The sequence below is a fragment of the Homo sapiens genome, chromosome 4 (genome assembly GCF_000001405.40).
Source record: "Homo sapiens chromosome 4, GRCh38.p14 Primary Assembly".
Classification (NCBI taxonomy): Eukaryota; Metazoa; Chordata; class Mammalia; order Primates; family Hominidae; genus Homo; species Homo sapiens.
The window spans coordinates 6,071,238-6,089,665 of NC_000004.12; the positions used below are offsets into that span (position 1 = coordinate 6,071,238).

At 47.5% G+C, this 18,428-nt stretch overlaps 1 protein-coding gene across 4 annotated transcripts in view, besides 3 other annotated features; it reads right to left on the reverse strand.

The window, feature by feature from the left end:
- Positions 1-18,428, reverse strand: part of JAKMIP1 (janus kinase and microtubule interacting protein 1) — a 174,351-nt gene that overhangs the window by 45,039 nt on the left and 110,884 nt on the right. For all 4 annotated transcript variants that reach the window (NM_001099433.2, NM_144720.4, NM_001306134.2 and 1 more), the window contains 5 exons: positions 14,183-14,392; positions 13,609-13,728; positions 10,372-10,518; positions 8,935-9,075; positions 7,702-7,761 (listed from right to left, as the gene is read on the reverse strand). In NM_001099433.2, coding sequence (NP_001092903.1) covers positions 7,702-7,761; positions 8,935-9,075; positions 10,372-10,518; positions 13,609-13,728; positions 14,183-14,392 — 678 coding nt within the window. The remainder of the gene's footprint in view (positions 1-7,701; positions 7,762-8,934; positions 9,076-10,371; positions 10,519-13,608; positions 13,729-14,182; positions 14,393-18,428) is intronic.
- Positions 627-1,556: an enhancer, noted in NCBI's record as "NANOG-H3K27ac-H3K4me1 hESC enhancer chr4:6073591-6074520 (GRCh37/hg19 assembly coordinates)". NCBI's record gives its function as "activates a minimal SCP1, AML or CMV promoter by ChIP-STARR-seq in primed H9 embryonic stem cells {active_cell/tissue: H9 hESC(primed)}" and the evidence as "EXISTENCE:reporter gene assay evidence [ECO:0000049][PMID:30033119]".
- Positions 14,497-15,370: an enhancer, noted in NCBI's record as "H3K4me1 hESC enhancer chr4:6087461-6088334 (GRCh37/hg19 assembly coordinates)". NCBI's record gives its function as "activates a minimal SCP1, AML or CMV promoter by ChIP-STARR-seq in naive H9 embryonic stem cells {active_cell/tissue: H9 hESC(naive)}" and the evidence as "EXISTENCE:reporter gene assay evidence [ECO:0000049][PMID:30033119]".
- Positions 16,700-17,202: an enhancer, noted in NCBI's record as "NANOG hESC enhancer chr4:6089664-6090166 (GRCh37/hg19 assembly coordinates)". NCBI's record gives its function as "activates a minimal SCP1, AML or CMV promoter by ChIP-STARR-seq in naive H9 embryonic stem cells {active_cell/tissue: H9 hESC(naive)}" and the evidence as "EXISTENCE:reporter gene assay evidence [ECO:0000049][PMID:30033119]".

The window sequence follows — 18,428 nt, forward strand, 5'->3', positions numbered from 1 at the left end:
GAGACAGCTGGGCCTGACCCCAGGCAGTGCAGACCTGAGACAGCTGGGCCTGGCCCCAGGCAGTGCAGACCTGAGACACCTGGGCCTGGCCCCAGGCAGTGCAGACTTGAGACAGAGGGGCCTGGAGGGGCGGGGCTGCAATCTGGAACCTTTGCCTCAAGCCCCTCCCCACGGGGCCTGAAGTCACCTCCTGAAACTAGGCAGGAGGCCGGGCACCTACAGACCCAGCCTCTGCAGCAGCTTCTCCCTGAGACCAGGACTCACCACCCTGCTCACTCCTGGCGCTGGGGTTTCCTTCCCTGTGTGAACAAATTACCTAGAACCACCATAGGTAATGGCACCTGTCCCTTCCCAAGTCTGCAAATGGGAGTTGGATGTCCCCATGGTGTTTGCTACCCTGGACAAGGTACCCAGTCGGCCTCTGTGGCCAGGTCAGGCTCCCGAGCTCTGCTCTACCCACACCAGCTGCAGCTCCTCTGGCGGTACCTCCAGGACCGGCACAGACGGTGTGTGTGCTTGTCTGCTGAGACGCCTGCATGTGGTCCAGGACACAGCCCCCGTCTCTTCATAATCACCCCAGTGTCCTATCCCCAGGACCCACATCTTCCCCGAGTCCTTTACCAAAGGGCCCCCAGCAGGTGGGACATGGAGCAATGCTCAGAGGGGCCTCCCATGCTTCTGGCACAGAGCCCGCTGTGAAAGGAAAATAAAAACTCTGAACCCCAGTTCACTCCACCAAAAAGAAAAACTTAAGCTGAAAGCTGAGTCATGCAAGAAGCTGCCTTTCCTTTTGTTCCTAAGCAGAGAGCTGCAGAGAAAAGGTTAAGCATCTCTACAGGTAGCTGCTCCATGTTCACCTTATCTTATGTAAAGTGTTGATTTACTGAGCACAAGACAATTACATAATTAGGACTATTCCCCTACCTGCTCCGTTTCTCTCACAACCTGTGGATTCAGTCATGTGACCACACACCCCCTCTTTCCCCTCCAGCCCGCTTTTCCCCTTTAAATATTGAACCCCTCAAAATCATCTTTGGAGAAAGGCTCAGATCTGTCTCCAGGGTACATTCTTAACCTTAGTAAAATAAACTTCTAAATTGATTGAGAGCTGCCTCAGAGACTTTTTGATTTACATCAGCCACTCAGCTGGCGAGGCTGGGACAAAGTCCTGCTGCCCATGCCCTCTTTACCTTTGATCAGAGCTGCATGAAATGAGTCCTGATGGCTGCTGTGGAGGAGGGACCAGGTGACAGGGACACTGCTGAGCCAGAAGGGAACAAGCCCTCGCCCCTCCCAGCAAAGGGCCCACAGTTACACACCAACCGAGGCCAGCCCTGTAAACAGACATGAAGTAGCCACTGGTTTCACGCAGTCACTACTATTAGCCTCTCTGAGTGCAGGGCACTGTGCCAGCAGCTTCGAGTAGCTGGATCCCAGGGCACCATCCAGCCCTCATGAGCTCACAGACTGGTGACAGCCGTGGGGAAGGCAGCCTAGGAATAAGATCGACTGCAAACAACCATGAAGGAAAAAATGGGTAGCTTTGGCAAAACTTGCAAATGAAAAATGCATGCACATGATGAAAAAATGTTTGACTTTGGGAGGCCGAGGCAGGCAGGTCACTTGAGGTCAGGAGTTCGAGACCAGCCTGGCCAATATGGTGAAACCCTGTCTCTACTAAAAATACAAAAAAAATTAGCCAGGCCTGGTGGCACACTCCCAGCTACTCAGGAGGCTGAGGCACGAGAATTGGTTGAACCCGGGAGGCGGAGGTTGCCGTGAGCTGAGCTCCATCACGCCACTACACTCCAACCTGGGCGACAGAGAGAAACTCTGTCTTAAAAAAAAAAAAAAAAAAAAGTGCTTGAGCTTCCTAGGCAGGCAAAGGTACTGTACAACCAGCTGCCAGTGTCTGTCCTTCCCTCCAGCAGGCAGCAGGCTTGGCCTCAGGGGTGTCCTTCCCTCCAGCAGGCAGCAGGCTTGGCCTCAGGGGCGTGGGGCTAGGAGTCAAGTTTAGATAGGTCCTGCGTGTTTTGATAGGTCCCATCAGAATGGATGCAAGAGCCACTGACAAAAATGGCCCGCCAGACCTCAGGCATCCTCCAACCCCTGGCAACAGCAGACCCAGAGTCATTTGGGGAGGAGGGGACACAGCACTGAAGCACTGGCCCAAGAAAGGGCCTCTCCTTCCAATGTGCTTTGATGGTTCCCAGCGCAGTCCCCAGCCCTCCCTTAAAGGATGATTACTGCAAAGGGCATTGAGATCCCACCTCACTATTATAAATTAGTGGGGGAGGCAGGGTGTAGGCATGGCCTGGGAATCTGCATTTCACAGGCCCTCCAAAGGAAAGTTATTGAGCTATAAGGTAAAGGAAGAAGGAGACACTCTGACTTCCTGATAACCTGCTATGCACCAAGCAAAGAACCAGAAGCTTCCTTAGATCCCATGGATATAATGTTCATTTTAAGAATCAAACTGAGGTTCTGAGCGTTTAGATGACTTGGCCAATCCCATCCAGCTAGTAGCTAGGGTCTGACTCCCATACTGCTTGGGGCTACAATTTCCCAACCTTATCCAAAATGATGGGTCCTTCTTTCAACCAAGGTGTGTGCGTAAACTGTACTGATTTTTAGCCATTATGCATATGCTTAGAACTCTGTGATGATACAGCTTCTGTGCAAGTTCCAATAGCCTGCAACACAATTTACTGCCACATGGCCAGAGGCCCAGGTCCTGAGCAAGCCCCCTACCCCAGTCCCCAGGGCACAGTCCGAGGAACCACTCAGGATCCTTCTCCTCCAACCTCTCCTTTGGGGCTAACGTGAGCCCACGCTGAACCAGCAGGCTCCCTGGGAAATGAGATAATCAGCACCAATCTTGTCCCTGGAGGAGATCCCATAAGGGGACTGTTGGATAGGCCCAGTAAGGCAGAGTCATGGCCCTCAGGGACACAAACGCTCCGGGAAGACAAAGGTGGACACCCTCTGCTTTGCCCTGACTGCATCTTCTGCAAGGCTCTGCCCTGACTGCATCTTCTGCAAGCTGGGGTGTGGGAGTGGACTGGAGGCACCCTCCTGCAGGGAGTCCAGGGAGGTTTGCTAGGGTCTTTCTGACAGAAAGTCAGGAGCTGGAGAGTAGGGATGGGGCTGTCAGATTTCTGGAAAGTTCTGGAACTTTCAATGCATTCACCACAGTACTCTGTCAAGCAAAGCCTTTGGCAAAGTGTTAAAACACTTCCATGTGTGATGGACAGAGAGTGATGGGGGCATTTCAGGGGAAAAAGAAACTAGTCTAGTCATCCTGCGGTACCCATGGGGGACTGGTTCTAGAACCTCCCACGAATACTCAAATCCATGGCTGCTCAAGCCCCTTATACAAATTGGTGTAGTGCTTGCATATAACCTACGCACATCCTCTTGTACACTTTAACTAGATTACTTATAATATCGTACCTAATACAGTGCAGATGCCCTGTAAACCCAGTTATGTGCAGCATAACAGCATCTCAGTCCTCAACAGTATACAACAACGGTCCCATAAGATCATAACACTGTATTTTTACTGTACATTGTCTATGTTTAGATACACAAATACCATTGGATTACAACTGCCTACAGTATTCAGTACAGTAGCATGCGGCACAGGCTTGCAGCCCAGAAGCCACAGGCTAGACTGAATAGCCTAGGTGTGTAGGAGGCTAGACCATCTGGGTTTGTGCAAGTATACTTCATGATGTTTGCATGACAAAGTCGCCTAATGACGCATTTCTCAGAATGTGTCCCTGTTGTTAAGGAATGCATGACTCTAGTTTTAGACTGTATTGTTTAGTGAATAATGAAAAGGAAAAAAAAGTCCGGGAGGTGGAGGTTGCAGTGAGCCAAGAGCGTGCCACTGCACTCCAGCCTGGTCAACAGAGTGAGACTCCATCTCAAAACAAAAAGAAAAGGAAAAAAAGTCTGTATATGTTCAGTAGAGATGCAACCATCCATTTTTTTTTTCCTGAAGGTTTTCAACCAGAGGTTGGTTGAATCCATGGATGTGAAACCCACAGATACAGAAAGCCAAGTGTACTGAATGCCTGTGGCCTGTGGTAGAGAAGAAAGAGAAGCTTCTTAGGCCTAAAAGGCAACCCTGGATTACAAAACCTGCTTGGGCCCCGATGGATCCAAGTATCAATTCAATCCAGCCCTGCACAATGCCAGGATTAAGTAGGAACATGGGAGAAAACTTGGTCCACACGGAAGTCTACACTGAATCTTGAGAAAAAGAAAAAATGCTGGTGGGCCCAGGAAACAGTGAATAGAAAAGACCCTAAACCCATTCAGGAAAGTTTCTACACAGATCCCCAAATTCGGCCTCCTAATGACACGGAACTATCTTCATTAAAGTGACCACACATCACCGTTCTTCTGCAACAATCCAGTGTCATACAAGTACATTTTTCCAGTAAAGGCAATTCGCTTATTTAGCCAACAACTATTTAGGGACTATTTAGTCAACACCTACTCTGTGCCAGGCAATGAACAGGCCACAGTGGGCAGGACAGACACAGCCCCTGTCCTTGCCTGTTGTACAGGCAATGTAGCAAATCACGATTCAATTCCAACCCTTTGTGAATTTCTCCTCCCATAAACACATTCAGAAATCAGGAAGAATGGCCAGTTGCAGCTGCTCATGCCTGTAATCCCAGCACTTTGGGAGGCTGAGGCAGGTGGATCACTTGAGGTCTGGAGTTTGAGATCAGCCTGGCCAACATGGTGAAACCCCGTCTCTACTAAAAATACAAAATTAGCCAGGCGTGGTGGCACATGCCTGTAATCTCGGCTACTTGGGAGGCTGAGGCAGGAGAATCGCTTGAACCTGGGAGGCAGAGGTTGCAATGAGCCGAGATTGTGCCATTGCACTCCAGCCCAGGCAACAAGAGCGAAACTCCATCTCAAAAAAAATTAGTAAATAAATAAAAAATAAAATAAACAAACAAACAAATAAATATAGACAAGTTCTACTCAAACCACTTCCTATTTCTGAGTTTCTAATGTCAATGTGCAGAAATTTGCCCCGTGTTCGACTTGGCTTGGTGGGAAAAGCTTGGGCCTTGTAGTCTCAGACTTGAGTTTGAAACTCAGCCTTGTCAATTTAATTTTTCTCTGAGTTTTTCTATATTATATATATATATGTCTTCTGTAGCTGTAAAATTGAAAAAATAATACCAACTATATGGGGTGGCTGTGAGAATTCAATGAGATTGTTTAAATACCCACTCATCTGAGAATCCAGGACCTAGCAAATCACCAATGAGCCAGGCCACTCTAAGTGGCATTACCTGAACGCTGCAGTAAAGGCCACCAGGAGGCAGCCTGGGAGCCAAATTGCACCCATAGATATATTTTATGTGGCCCACAGGTATATATTTTACAGGCTGAGTGTCCTTTATCTGAAATACTTGGAACCAGAAGGAATTTTGGATGTTTTTTCAGATTTTGGAATATTTGCATAAACAGAATAAGGTATCTTGGGGATGGGACCCAAGTCTAAACATGAAATTCATTTGTTTCATATACACTTTATATATAATACATAGCCTGAAGGGAATTGTATATAATATTTTAAATAATTTTGTGCATGAATCAAAGTTTTGATAGTGTTTTTACTGCAACCTGTCACATGAGGCCAGGTGTGAAATTTCCCTGGCCTCATGTTGGTGCTGAGAAAGTTTCAGATTTTGGAGCATTTTGGATTTCGGATTTTTGGATTTTGGATTACGGATGTTCAACCTGTATTTGGACATATAAAATTACAGACATTTAAAATCCAGCATTTAAATCCTTCAATTTCATATAAAGTAAGGTGTTATGGATTAAACTGTATCCCCCCAAAAAGATAGGTCGAGGTCCTAATCCCAGTACCTCAGAATGTGACTTATTTGGAAATAGGATCATTGCAGATGTAGTTAAATTATCATGAGGTCACGTTGGAGTAGGGTGGACTCCTAATCCAGCATGAGTGGTGGCTTTATATGTGAAGCCACAGAGACACACAGGTAGAATGTCACTGACAATGAAGGCAGAGATTGGAGTTCAAGCTGCAAACCAAGGACACCAAAGATTGCTGGGAAACCACTCTAAGCTAGGAAGAGGAAAGGAGGGGTCTGCTACGGGTTTTAGAGGGAGGGAACGTGGCTCTACCGACACCTTAATTTCAGCATTCTGGCCTCTAGAACTGTAAGATAATACATTTCCTTTCCTTTTTTTTTTTTTTTTTTTTTTGAGACAGGGTCTTGCTCTGTCACTGAGGCTGGAGCTCAGTGGCAAAATCATGACTCACTACAGCCTTGACCTCCTGGGCTCAAGCAGTCCTCCTGCTTCAGCCTCCAAAGTAGCTGGGACTTCAGGTGCCACCACATCCAGCTAATTTTTTTAATTTTTTGTAGAGACAGGGTCTTGCTATGTTGCCCAGGCTGATCTCAAACTCCTGGGCTCAAGCGATCCACCCACCCTGGCCTTTCAAAGTGCTGGAATTACAGGCATGAGCCACTGTGCCCGGTCTTTTTCGGTGGCTCTAAGCCACTGATTTTGTGGTACTTTGTTAAGGCAGCCCTAGGAAGCTAACATACAAGGATTTATATTTCCCTTGAAAAACTGGACTATCTGATGCCATCGGTCCACCTTCTTATAGCAACCAGGATTCAGGGCCCAGTTTGCCACAGTCCCCACCATTCCCTGTTGTCACCCTGACACCAAGACCACATGTCTTTGGCCATTCACTATCACATTTGCACAGCTGTTTCCCTTATAGATGAGAAATATTTCTCTATAACCACATCTCCATCAAAAGATAAACCAAACGGGGCACTTGTGTTCAATAAAAAGGAGAGAAGACCAGCCTAGCCAAAATGGTGAAACCCTGCCGCTACTAAAAATACAAAATTTAGCCGGGCGTGGTGGCATGTGCCTGTAGTCCCAGCTACTCGGGAGGCTGAGGCAGGAGAATCATTTAAACCTGGGTGGTGGAGTTTGCAGTGAGCCGAGATGGTGTCACTGCACTCCAGCCTGGACAACAGAGTGAGACTCTGTCTAAAAAAAAAAAACAAAAAAAAAATGGAGAGGAGAACTGTGTCTTTGTGGGAGCCAAAAATAGGTTTACAGGTTTAAAGGCAAACTATGCTTTTTTTTTTTTTTTTGGTATCAGCTCCAGTGCGCTCTTTACATTCCAGATTGGTCCCTGTGGGCATTTGAATTTTATAAGCCCAGCTCCTTCAGACACTGTTACTAGGAAATAGCAAAAGACCTATATTTTCCAAAAAAGACTACAGTTCTGCATGATTCCAAAAAAACACAAAGCTCCTGATTTTTTTAGAACAGGATATGCTCTCATATAAACCAACCCTGAATGTCCCTTAAATCCTTCAAAAGGTTTAAGTATTTATGTTTTTAATTTTGGGTGAATATACCCTGAAGCCTAAGTGGAGAATACATCAGGAAGTTTTCCATGAATAAATTACAATAACTGGGTCACATGACACGGCCATATTTATGTTGCTTTGAGAGACGGTGATGACAGGCTTTTCATCATCAGGCATGCAGAGATGTGTGTGTCTGCTTCAGGACCCCTCTGTAAAACCTCCCCACTCCACGACCCATCTGCCCTGCAGATCCGTGACACAGCGGCAAGGTAGGGCAGGTGCACCATCGCAGGCTCACCTTGGGCGGTTTCAGACTTTTCCCTCGATGCCTTTTGGAGCGCAACAGCCGTTCTCTCTCCTAGAAGGAAACACAACGGTTGGCATTTCCAGCCAGCCTCACATCTCACAAACCAAAGCCACTGGCTCTCAAAGGGAGCTGGGCCTGCCCATCCGCACCAGGCATGGCTAGTTGAAGTTCTAAGTGCCCAAGTGATGGCTGCTTCTCTGAACTGAGAGCTACAGGGAGAGTTTATTATCCACCTTTTGACTTTATTGTTATTTCACTGAAATATATTTTTCATCCTAAGCTGCATTGAGTCTTTTGTGTAATGAAGCAAAGATGGATGGATAGATAGATGTATGCATAGATAAGTGGATGGAAGGATGAAAGAATGGGTGAGTGGATGGATGGATGGGTGGACAGATGGGTGGGTGGATGGATGGATGGATGGATGGGTGAAAGGAAGAAAGAGAGAAGTTAAAGAGGTAGAGGGAGATGGAGGCAGGCAAAATGAACATGAAAATTATAATCAAAGCCTTTTCTAGAATTTTGATCACTAGCTTTTCTATTCTTTGAAAACCAGTGCATGGAACCATCACACACCCACTTTGGTGAGCAGAACACGTTCTACTTCTAAGATCCAACTAAAGCTCCCTGCAGGTGTTCTCTGCCTGTTGCCGAAGTTCCTTTCACAGAGAGCTGTGGAATTCTCTGGATGCAATTCTCCACCGCTTAGGACATACTCAACCCCCTTTGATAGATGCACGCCCCATATACACGTCCAAAACTCACACAGGCAGTCTTAGCAAGGTGCTGGTCTGGTTATAAGGTTCAAGTTTGTGGGCCTAAACTCACAGTCTGCAACTGCTAAGCTAAAAACCAACCAACCAACCAACCAAACAAACAAAAAGCCTTCTCTGGAACAGATCATGCCCAGTCTCTAAAGGCCAAAAGACATCCTTAAAACTGATGCTTCTCAATCACAGCAAGCTAGGGAGAAGATGTGAGAAAAGGGTAGCCATGGAAACTGTCCCCAAGTACCAGTGATCTCATTTAAGCCAAGGCTGCTTAGTGGCAGAATGAAGCGGGAATGTGCACACCAGGGTGAGCTTGGTGAGTCCCAAAGTCAGCACTGCCTGACCCTGACCCAGCTCAGCAGCATCACCCTGAGCCCCAACACCCGTTCCTGACACCCATGTCAGCTGGTGCCACCCCTGCCAGGGGCAGCCGCGCCAGCTGTGCTAGATGTACCAGTGAGAGGTCGTCAATGACGTGCTGCTGCTCCAGCACCTGCAGCCTCAGGAACTCGATCTCCTGCTCATCCCTCGTCAGGCTGAGGTCATTCAAGGAGGTATGCCGCTTCAGAGACGCCTGCGCTGACAGCTTTTCTTTCTGCAGCCACAGGGAGACAGACCACCACAGGGTTACCCGCCAACAGTGTTTGTTAGGGACAGTGCTGGAGTGGAGCTCAGGGGTGCAGGGACAGAAGGATGGATGGGAGGATGAAAGAGATGATGGCCTGATATGGTTTGGCTGTGTCCCCACCCAAATCTCATCTTGAATTGCGGCTCCCAGAACTCCCGTGTGTTGTGGGAGGGGCCAGGTGGGAGATCATTGAATCATGGTGGCGGTTTCTCTCATACTATTCTCGTGGTTGTGAATAAGTCTCTGATGTTTTTATAAGGGTTTTCCCCTTTTACTTGGCTCTCAGTCTGTCTTGTCTGCCGCCAAGTAAGATGTGCCTTTAGCTTTCTGCCATGATTGTGAGGCCTCCCCAGCCACGTGAAACTGTGAGTCCATTAAACCTCTTTTTCTTTACAAATTACCCAGTCTCAGGTATGCCTTTATCAGCAGTGTGAAAATGGACTAATACGTGGCCACCTTGTCCTGTGCTGGAAGAGGGGACAGGGCAGACCAAAGCCAAGCCCAAGGTGGGGCTGACCATGCACACTGCTGACAGGAAGGGATGCGCAGGGCCTGGGGGTGGAAGACGACATTTGAAATGAGCCTAGAAACCTGGGAGGGGAAGGCAGGGGAAGGAGAGGACTTCACACAACAGCAATTACACACACACACACACACACACACACACACCTGCATCTGCTACAGTGCAGACAGCAGAGCATGTGTGGTGACAGAGCCTCCGTCTTCCCGGCTGTGAAGTGGGGGTTGATACTACTCTGAACAATGAACCTGAAATCATTCTGTAAACTGTCAACTACAAGACGCCTGCCCTGACCACAAACACCAGGCATCCTAGCTGGAGGAGAAACCCCTCTGCAGAGCATCGCCAGCGATCATTGTAACAGCTTTCACTTGCTGGGTGTCCTCTGGGCCCGTTCCCTGTGAGGTCTTTACATGCTGTTATTTCATCCTCTTGATGATCCTCCAGTGTGGATATTTTCATTCCCATTTTATGCATGAAGAAACAGAGGCTCAGAGAGAATGGGGGATGTGTTTAAGGACACAGCTGTCTGACTCCCTCTGGGCACAAACACCCACAGCACAGTGAATGTGAGACAGGTGGAGAGAAAGGCGAGACATCTGTGACTGACACTGTGCCTGGTGCTTTGTGGGGAGGTGGGCAGCAGGTGCGCCCCAGAACATGTGAATCGGGAGGTTCAGGGCTGAAGAATCCCAGACAGAGAAGGGAGTGTCAGGGCTGTCCCCAAGGGGTCCACAGCTCACCATTTCCACGTTTTCCCGCGTGAGGTTCTTGATTTTCTCCTCCATCCTCTGGATACTCTGCAACAGATCCTCATTCTTCTTGTTCATCCGCTTGTTCTTCTCCACCAGGGGCTTCAGCTGAACCTCGGTCTCTCGTGAGCGTTTCAGCTGTGGTTGGAAACAGACACAGAGGCTCAGACAACTTGACGACGGACGGCCGAGGTCACAGCACCGAGGTGAGCAGAGACTCAACCCAGTTAGGACCCCTTCTGAGGCCAGTGTCCTGGATGACACATTTGTTTGCTAGTTGCATGACAATGGGCAAGTTCTCAGCCTCAGTTTCCTCATCTATCAAATGAGAATCACGGCAGCTCCTGTCTCCTAGGCACATGGTGAGAATTGAATGCATAGTGGTAGTCTCCCAGTGTTATTTTCATGGAAAGAATTAGAAACAACTTAAATATCTATCAATATCATGATAACCACAGGCACAGCCAACACATGTGAAGGGGCCACCTTCCCCATCCGCATTTTATAGACAAAGAACCTGAGCCCAAAGAGAGGAGGCAATGGGCCCAACTTCACAAAGAAAGTGCCAAGAATGCTTTGCACTTTTGCAAAGATTGGTGGTTTGAGTTCACCAAGATTCAAACACAAGGGACTGACTCTAGACCCCTGCGTTTACTCCCCAGGCTGTAAATGTTAAGGTAAAATATTCTGATGGTATAGGTTGAAATATAAAATGTACCATGTGACCCATGCATTCTACTTCTAGAAACCTACCGCCCCCCCAAAAAAATGCCATGTAGAAGATACATACGTGTCTTTACTGACTTGAACCTTTATGTAAAGTCAGTAAAGACCCATATGTATCTTCTTCATGGCATTTTTTTTTTTCGAGACAGAAGGTAGGTAAAATGACATGTGTCACTTTGACAAAGGGTCTCACTTCGTCACCCAGGCTTGAGTGCCGTGGCGTGATTTCAGCTCACTGCAGCCTTGACGTCCTGGCCTCAAGTGATCTCCCACCTCAGCCTCCCAAGTAGCTGGAACTACAGGTGTGCACCACTGCACCCAGCTAATTTTTTTGTATTTTTAGAGATGGGGTTTTGCCATGCTGCCCAAGCTGGGCTGGAACTCCTGAGCTCAAGGAATCTTCCCACGTTGGCTTCCCAAAGTGCTGAGATTACAGGCATGTGGCACCTCACAGAAATCCAGAAAGCGGCAACAGCCTAAAGATCCACCACTGGGAAGAGAGGTGAACAGACCATGGTATATCCACACAATGGACTACCAAGCCGCTGGTAAAAAGACAAAGACAGATCTCTAAGCACTGATGGGGAGTGATGTAATTGATCAATGAGGTGAAAAAAGCAAGTTGCAGAACAATACACAGCAGGGAAAAAAATCCCAATTCATATCCATAAAATAAAACAAAGTCTCTCGGTGAGTTTTAAGGTATTTATTTAAACATTAAGAACATTTAAGAACCACTCCAAACTAGCAGTAGTTACCTCATGATTTTAAGATTGAGGCCAGGCGCGGTGGCTCACGCCTGTAATCCCAGCACTTTGGGAAGCTGAGGCAGGCAGATCACTTGAGGTCAGGAGTTCAAGACCAGCCTGGCCAACATGGTGAAACCCCATCTCTACTAAAAATACAAAAATTAGCCGGGTGTGTTGGCGGGTGCCTGTAATCCTAGCTACTTGGGAGGCTGAGGCAGGAGAATCACTTGAACCCGGGAGGCAGAGGTTGCAGTGAGCTGAGATCACATCACCTCACTCAAACCTGGGCGACAGAGCAAGACTCCACCTCAAAAAAAAAAAAAAAAGATTGAAGCGTTGGCAAACTTATTAGTTTCTACTTTTAACTACTTCAGTCTGATCTGACATGTTTCCAGAAGCCTGTGTTTTTTCCTAATCCACTCAGTAAACTATGCAGCTCATGAGTATTTATGAGCTTATAAATATTTAAATGAAGAGTAGAGACATAATATTAGATGTACAGTCTGATTAAAGCCAAAAAAAAAAAAACATTTAAAAATACTGGAAGGAAGTAAATTTATTTTGATCCTATTAAAGTTGTGAAGAGGTGATACTTACGGACACTTTTCACCACTCATTTTTTTCAAATATTCTGTGGATATACTTCTCTTCATAATAAAAATTAGAATAAACATAAAAATTATGAGGCATCTGTCAAGAAGTTGATGTATCAACTGCCATTACATAAAAATTAGTTTTGCTGTTATCCAGAAAATGTAAACATATTCATGAAATTTCTATTTTTACTGGAGATTTCTTTTTTAACCAGAAGTCCATGTTCATTATTTTTAAAATTAATGTATAAGTTTTAGTTTACAAGTATATAAAATTTTATGCAAAAAAGTAAATACATAAGCACAAATTAAAATTACCCATAATTACACCACCTAAAAGAATAACTTCTAGCCAGATGTGGTGGCTCTTGTGTGTAATCCCAGCACTTTGGGAGGCTGAGGCGGGCAGATCACCTGAGGTCAGGAGTTCAAGACCAGCCTGGCCAACATGGAGAAACCCTGCCTCTACTAAATGTACAAAATTAGCCGGGCATGGTGGCACATGCCTGTAATCCCAGCTACTCGGGAGGCTGAGGCAGGAGAATCGCTTGAACCCGGGAGGTGAAGGTTACGGTGAGCCAAGATGGTGCCAATTGCACTCCAGCCTGGGCGACAAGAGTGAAACTTTATCTCAAAAAAAAAAAAAAAAAGAATAATTTCTAATATTCAAGATGATGACAATGTATTATTGTTCTGTAAAATGCATTTTTCATTTAATTTACTATGAACACGTTTCCATTTCAATTAAAGAGGGTCTCCATCATCAATCTTAATGACAGTCTAGAATTCATTGTATAAATATTCCATAATCACTCTGCCCTACGCTTTAGTATTGAACAATTGGGTTTTTTGGTTTTTTAATTGTTGATTTTTTTCGGTTTCGGTTGTTAACATAAACAACACTGCAATGAACATCCTCTCCATGCTTCTCATGGAAGTTCTCCAGTTGTTTGCTAAAGATAAGTTCCTACAAAAACAAATGGCAGTAAGAGATTTCTTCAATGAGCATGTGTTAGATTTTTAATCGAAAAGAAGTAAGAAGGAAAGTTCAGAGAACCAGAAGGCTTCTGCATTAACTTTCTGTGCAGGGCATGTTTCAGGGACTCAGGGCCCCTTCCTTGCACCCTATGAGGCACCGCCTGTCTCTTGGGGCTACTTACCAGTTCATTCCTCTCATCTGCCAACAGCGTATTTCTGTCTTCCAGCTTCCGTATCACTGAATTCAGTTCAGCAATTTTTAGTTGAAATCGCCTCACATCTCGCTCGTCCATATGTTGATCCTAAAAAAAAAAAAAAAAAAAAAAAAAAAGTCAAGACGTAAATGTACTTTGAAGAAGTTGTGTGGAGCCTTCTTAGAAAATTCACATGACATAATGGGTGAGATCCTTATTCAGGGGCCCACATGCCACACAGCAAGGTGGGGAACACCCAAGCCCACTGCACACCTGCGGAAGACTCCATCTAGACGGCCACTGAGACTTCAAACCCTTCCGTGGCTCCCTGGGGCCCTTGTGGTCAGGCCCCTCCCACCCCGTATCTCTTACAAAGGCCGCCACGCACCGGCACCTCACACAGCGTCCAGCACAAAGAACTTATAACATCCCCTCCAATACTGAGTGAATGAATGAATGAGTGAATACATGCCACCTCAGAGTCCTCTGTGGCTGACCAGAAAAATGCCACCTAAATGGGTGGGGGACCAGCCTGAGGCTGGCACAAGCTGCTGCCCCTCACCTGGACGCCCATGAGCTCCACCATGTCCCCGATCCCGGGCGGGAGCTCTCTCTTTGGACTACTGTGGTGCCGCTCGGCCTCCTTGACCTGAACCAGCTGCTCATCCAAAGCCTCTTTCTGCAGAAGCAGCTTCTGGGTCTGCCCAGCCTGCACGCCAAGTTCCTTCTCCAAGGCCAGAATCACACGGTCTTTCCCTTTGATCTCATCCATCTGAAAAGGAGAAAGAATAAGCAGTCAGCCCTAGGGGCTCATGACCAAGGAAATCTCTCCCCAAATTGGGGCCTTCGGCCCAGGGAAAGGTCAAAGCAGTGTCTCGGGCCTGGGTCAACTGAATTCAGTAAACTCCAGACACAGAGCAAGCACAGCCCGCAGCCCAGGGCTTGTTCCCCGTCACTCCCACAAGACAGAGGAGACAGAGCTAAGGGTTGAAGCACATACATATTCAACCTGACATGCATACTGACATCAGTGTATGCTCCTGTCTCTCTCACTTTAATGAGATACAATAAAACACTGCCGGCCCCCAGCCAGGCCTCTGCAGCTCAGCTTCTTGGCAGAGCTGGCTTCTCTCTCCGTCTCCAGGACCATGTCTCCCTCTCAGTCATTGACCCTCTCCTGCCTGGCCACAACTCCCCAACCCTCACCACCAGACAGCTCCTGCCAAGGTCACCAGTGCTCTCCTGGCCACCGAACCCACCGGACAACGTTGTCCTCCCGCCCTGACTCCGTCACCCACTCCCAGACTCACGACCTCCTGCTCCCTCTCCCCAAGGCCACTTCCCATGGTTTCTATCTTCTTTATAGACTGTCTTGCTCTGGCTCTCATTGAAGCCTGGAGTTTCCAAGGCTCGGGCCTCTTCTCACTCTATATCCTCTCCCAGGCAGCCAGGTCCTCCCCGACGGTATCAACCCCACATATGCAGCAGATCTTAAACACATGCCTCAGCCCTGGCTTCTCTCTGAGCTCCACAATCACAGAACCAGCTGGCTGCCTGACACCTCTGCTTGGATCTCGGAGGGACCACAGCCTCTCCACGTACAAACCTGAACTTAATCTTCAGTTCACCCCCAGCCCTGTCTTGTCCAGCCTTCCTATGGGGGAGTGTCAGAAAGGACACAGGCTCAACACAGTGGGCCGGGTGACAGTGAGGAACCACACCAAAAAAAGTATGCAGAGGAAGTGTCAGCCCCAGGTCATCCACTCTGGCTTTTTCTGGATGCTCCAGTGAAGGCACTGTCCTGGTTGAATAGCAGGCCCCCAAGACCCATGGCCTTCCTGGAACTTCAGAATGGGACCTTATTTGGAAAGAGGGTAACTGCAGGTGCAATTAGTTAAGATGAGGTCATCCTGGAGCAGGGTGGGCCCTTATGACTGGTGTCCTTATGAGAGGAGAAGAGAGACACAGAGGGGAAGGCCGTGTAAGGACGGAGGCAGAGGCTGGAGGGACACAGCCTCAAGCCAAGGAACTCAAGGTCAGCCAGCAACACCAGCATCAGGAAGAGGCTGGGAAAGATCCTCTTCCACAGCCTTAGGGGGAAGTGTGGGCATGCAGACACCTTGATTTCAATCTCCTGGCCTCCAGAACTGTATAGGAACACATTTCTGTCATGTTAAGCCATGAAGTTTGAGATTATTTGTTGCGGCAGCTGCAAGGAAACAGATGCAAAGGCTCCTCCTGCTCAGCTCACTCACGTAGCAAGTTACATTTCAGTGGATTACAATCCAAAGCTCTTACTTCTAAATCATAAACCTTGATTTCAGACACAGACTGCCACAGCAGAGAATTGGGGTGAAGGGCCCTCTTCTGATAGCAGAGAGAAGCAGGCTAAAATCCCGCCCACCCCCCAACCCTGACCATATGACCATGGGCAGGTTGGGCCACCTCTCTGACTCAACTTCTGTCTCTGTAAAATATGGACAATAGGAAGACTTTAGAACCAACTCTGTCTAACTGTTGAGGAGCTTTAGAGCAACCATGAGAAGAATTTGGTACAGTGCCTAGCATATCGCAAGCCTGCCATCAGTGTTCACTGCCACTGTTAATCTCTTCTAGCCCCTAGGTAACACGAGGCTATTTTATTTTAAAAGAAGACCACTAAAAACTGAAAAAAATAACATAGAGATGAGAGAAGAAAGGAAATGGTACTCCTAGATTCCAGACTGAGAGGTTTTCCAGCCACATACCACGGTGCTACAGTTCTGATGTGGAATTTCCATCACTTGCAACCAAAATAATCCTAATTGACATAGAGTTCAGGAAAGAACAAAAAACGTGCCAGAGGTATCACCTCTCTCTTATGTGCTAGTTGTGAGCTAGGTACTAATTTGTACTTAAGAGCTCTCTGAGGCACCTTTCTTTGGAAGACAAAAGGCTGTTTCCATCTGCCAGGATGATATCCTGGCCCCTGCAATGGGTGCTCCATGCAGTTTCTCCTAAGCAGCTGCTGAATGTGCCCACTGCTCCCCCTGGTGATGATCCACCAGCATCTACCTGCTTGGGCCAAATCCCAAATCCCGAGTGTTGCAATTTCCAAATGGGTAGGAGCACTGTCCCTTCCACAGGAGGAATCTTTAAACATGCTGAAAACACCACTGCCAATGTAGATGCCAACCCCAAAGCAAAAATCATTATGCAGAAGGAGTTTATTCATTTAATTCACTCAAGCACGCTTTCATTAACTCAACACATGCTGAGCTGAGCGCTATCAGTGGGTGCTGAGAAACATTAGAGAGCAAAAGAGACCAGCCGCCCTGCCCTAGGGGCTTCTATTCTGCTAGTGGGCGGAGCAGGCAATAAACATAATAAATAAGCAGACATTGTAGTGATTGAGAGTGATTTGTGCTATGAGGGGGAAAAAAAACAATAACAACATCAAAGCAAAGGAAATCGGTAGGGGCAGTGGAGGGTGTTGCAAACCAACAGTTTGTCCATCACGGGTAAGGGAGGGTTCTTGTCTGCCCCTCAGTATCAGCTTTGCAGTGAAGCCCCCGCCACTGCCTTCCACTAGCTCCCCACAAAAGACAGCACCGTCGCGAGCAAGACATCTCCAGGATCCCAAATTCTCCACCTGGAAGAGCACCAATTCCCCCTTGTCCTAGTAAGTGAGACAGAGGGCTTCTGCCCCAGTCATCACAAGAAAGTTTCCTAGAAAATATTCTCAAACAGCAGAGATGGCATCTAGAAACGGACGGAGGGCCAATGCAGAACACATTCCGGAGCCAGCATGAGAGTCCTGAGGCCCCAGAGGTTAAGACACTGGCCACGCTCACGTAGCAAGAGGCAGGCACACTCACAGTTCACTGACTTTACTCCTGGATCACAAGCTGAGCTCTTAGTGATCCTATCTCGCTGCCCTTGGGATGCTGATGAAATCTCAAGCTTCCTGGAACTGCTCACCTGACCATATGGAACATCCCTCAGCTTCCTTCCCGCATCCATTTCCCCTTCTCCCATACGCCCAGTCTCAGCATGTGCAGTAGGAAAGGGGTGGAACGAACATCACTGCAAGTTCCCAGGGCAGTCCCCAATTGGCTCATGCCACCCAAATGTCCCTGTCCCAACAGTAATTGCTTCAGGGATGGATGCACAATCCAATCAGAACCAATGGCCAGAAGTAGGCAGCACCAGGATCCTCCTGTTTTTCTTTAGGAGCTAAGAAAGGGACTCTGGGCTGTGTGGTGTGAGAATGTGGGACCTGGCACAGTGGTGGCATCCCCCCAGCACAGCATGAGAGCCCACAGCCTGGGAATGACACAGCAGGAGGCAGAGCAGAGCCCAAGAACCTGGGATCCTGGATGACATCGTTAGTGCACCTGGAGCTGCACCTACAGCAAATCCCATGACTTCAGTTGGGGGAGCCAACAGACACCCATGGCCTAAGCTGGTTTGATGGAATTTCTGTCACTTGCGACCAAAAGAATCACAATCAACAGAGTTCAGGGAAGAACGACAAACTTGATGTTGGCTATCACTCCTCTCTTAATGCTAGCGTGAGCTAGGTACTCATTTGTACTTAAGAGACACTCTCTGAGTCTTTAAAAGATCCTCAAAGTGGACATCATTTACCCCAAGTTACACACAAACTTGAGGCCCAGAAAGGGGAATGTGCTAACACTCTAGTTAGCAGCAGAACCATGACTCAAGTGCAGATTGTACTCTCCAAGCCCTCCCTGTCCCCTCTGCCCCAAAGGAACAGAGTCCGGTTGTTTCTAAGCAGTCAAGTCCACCAGGAAATGTATCTTAGT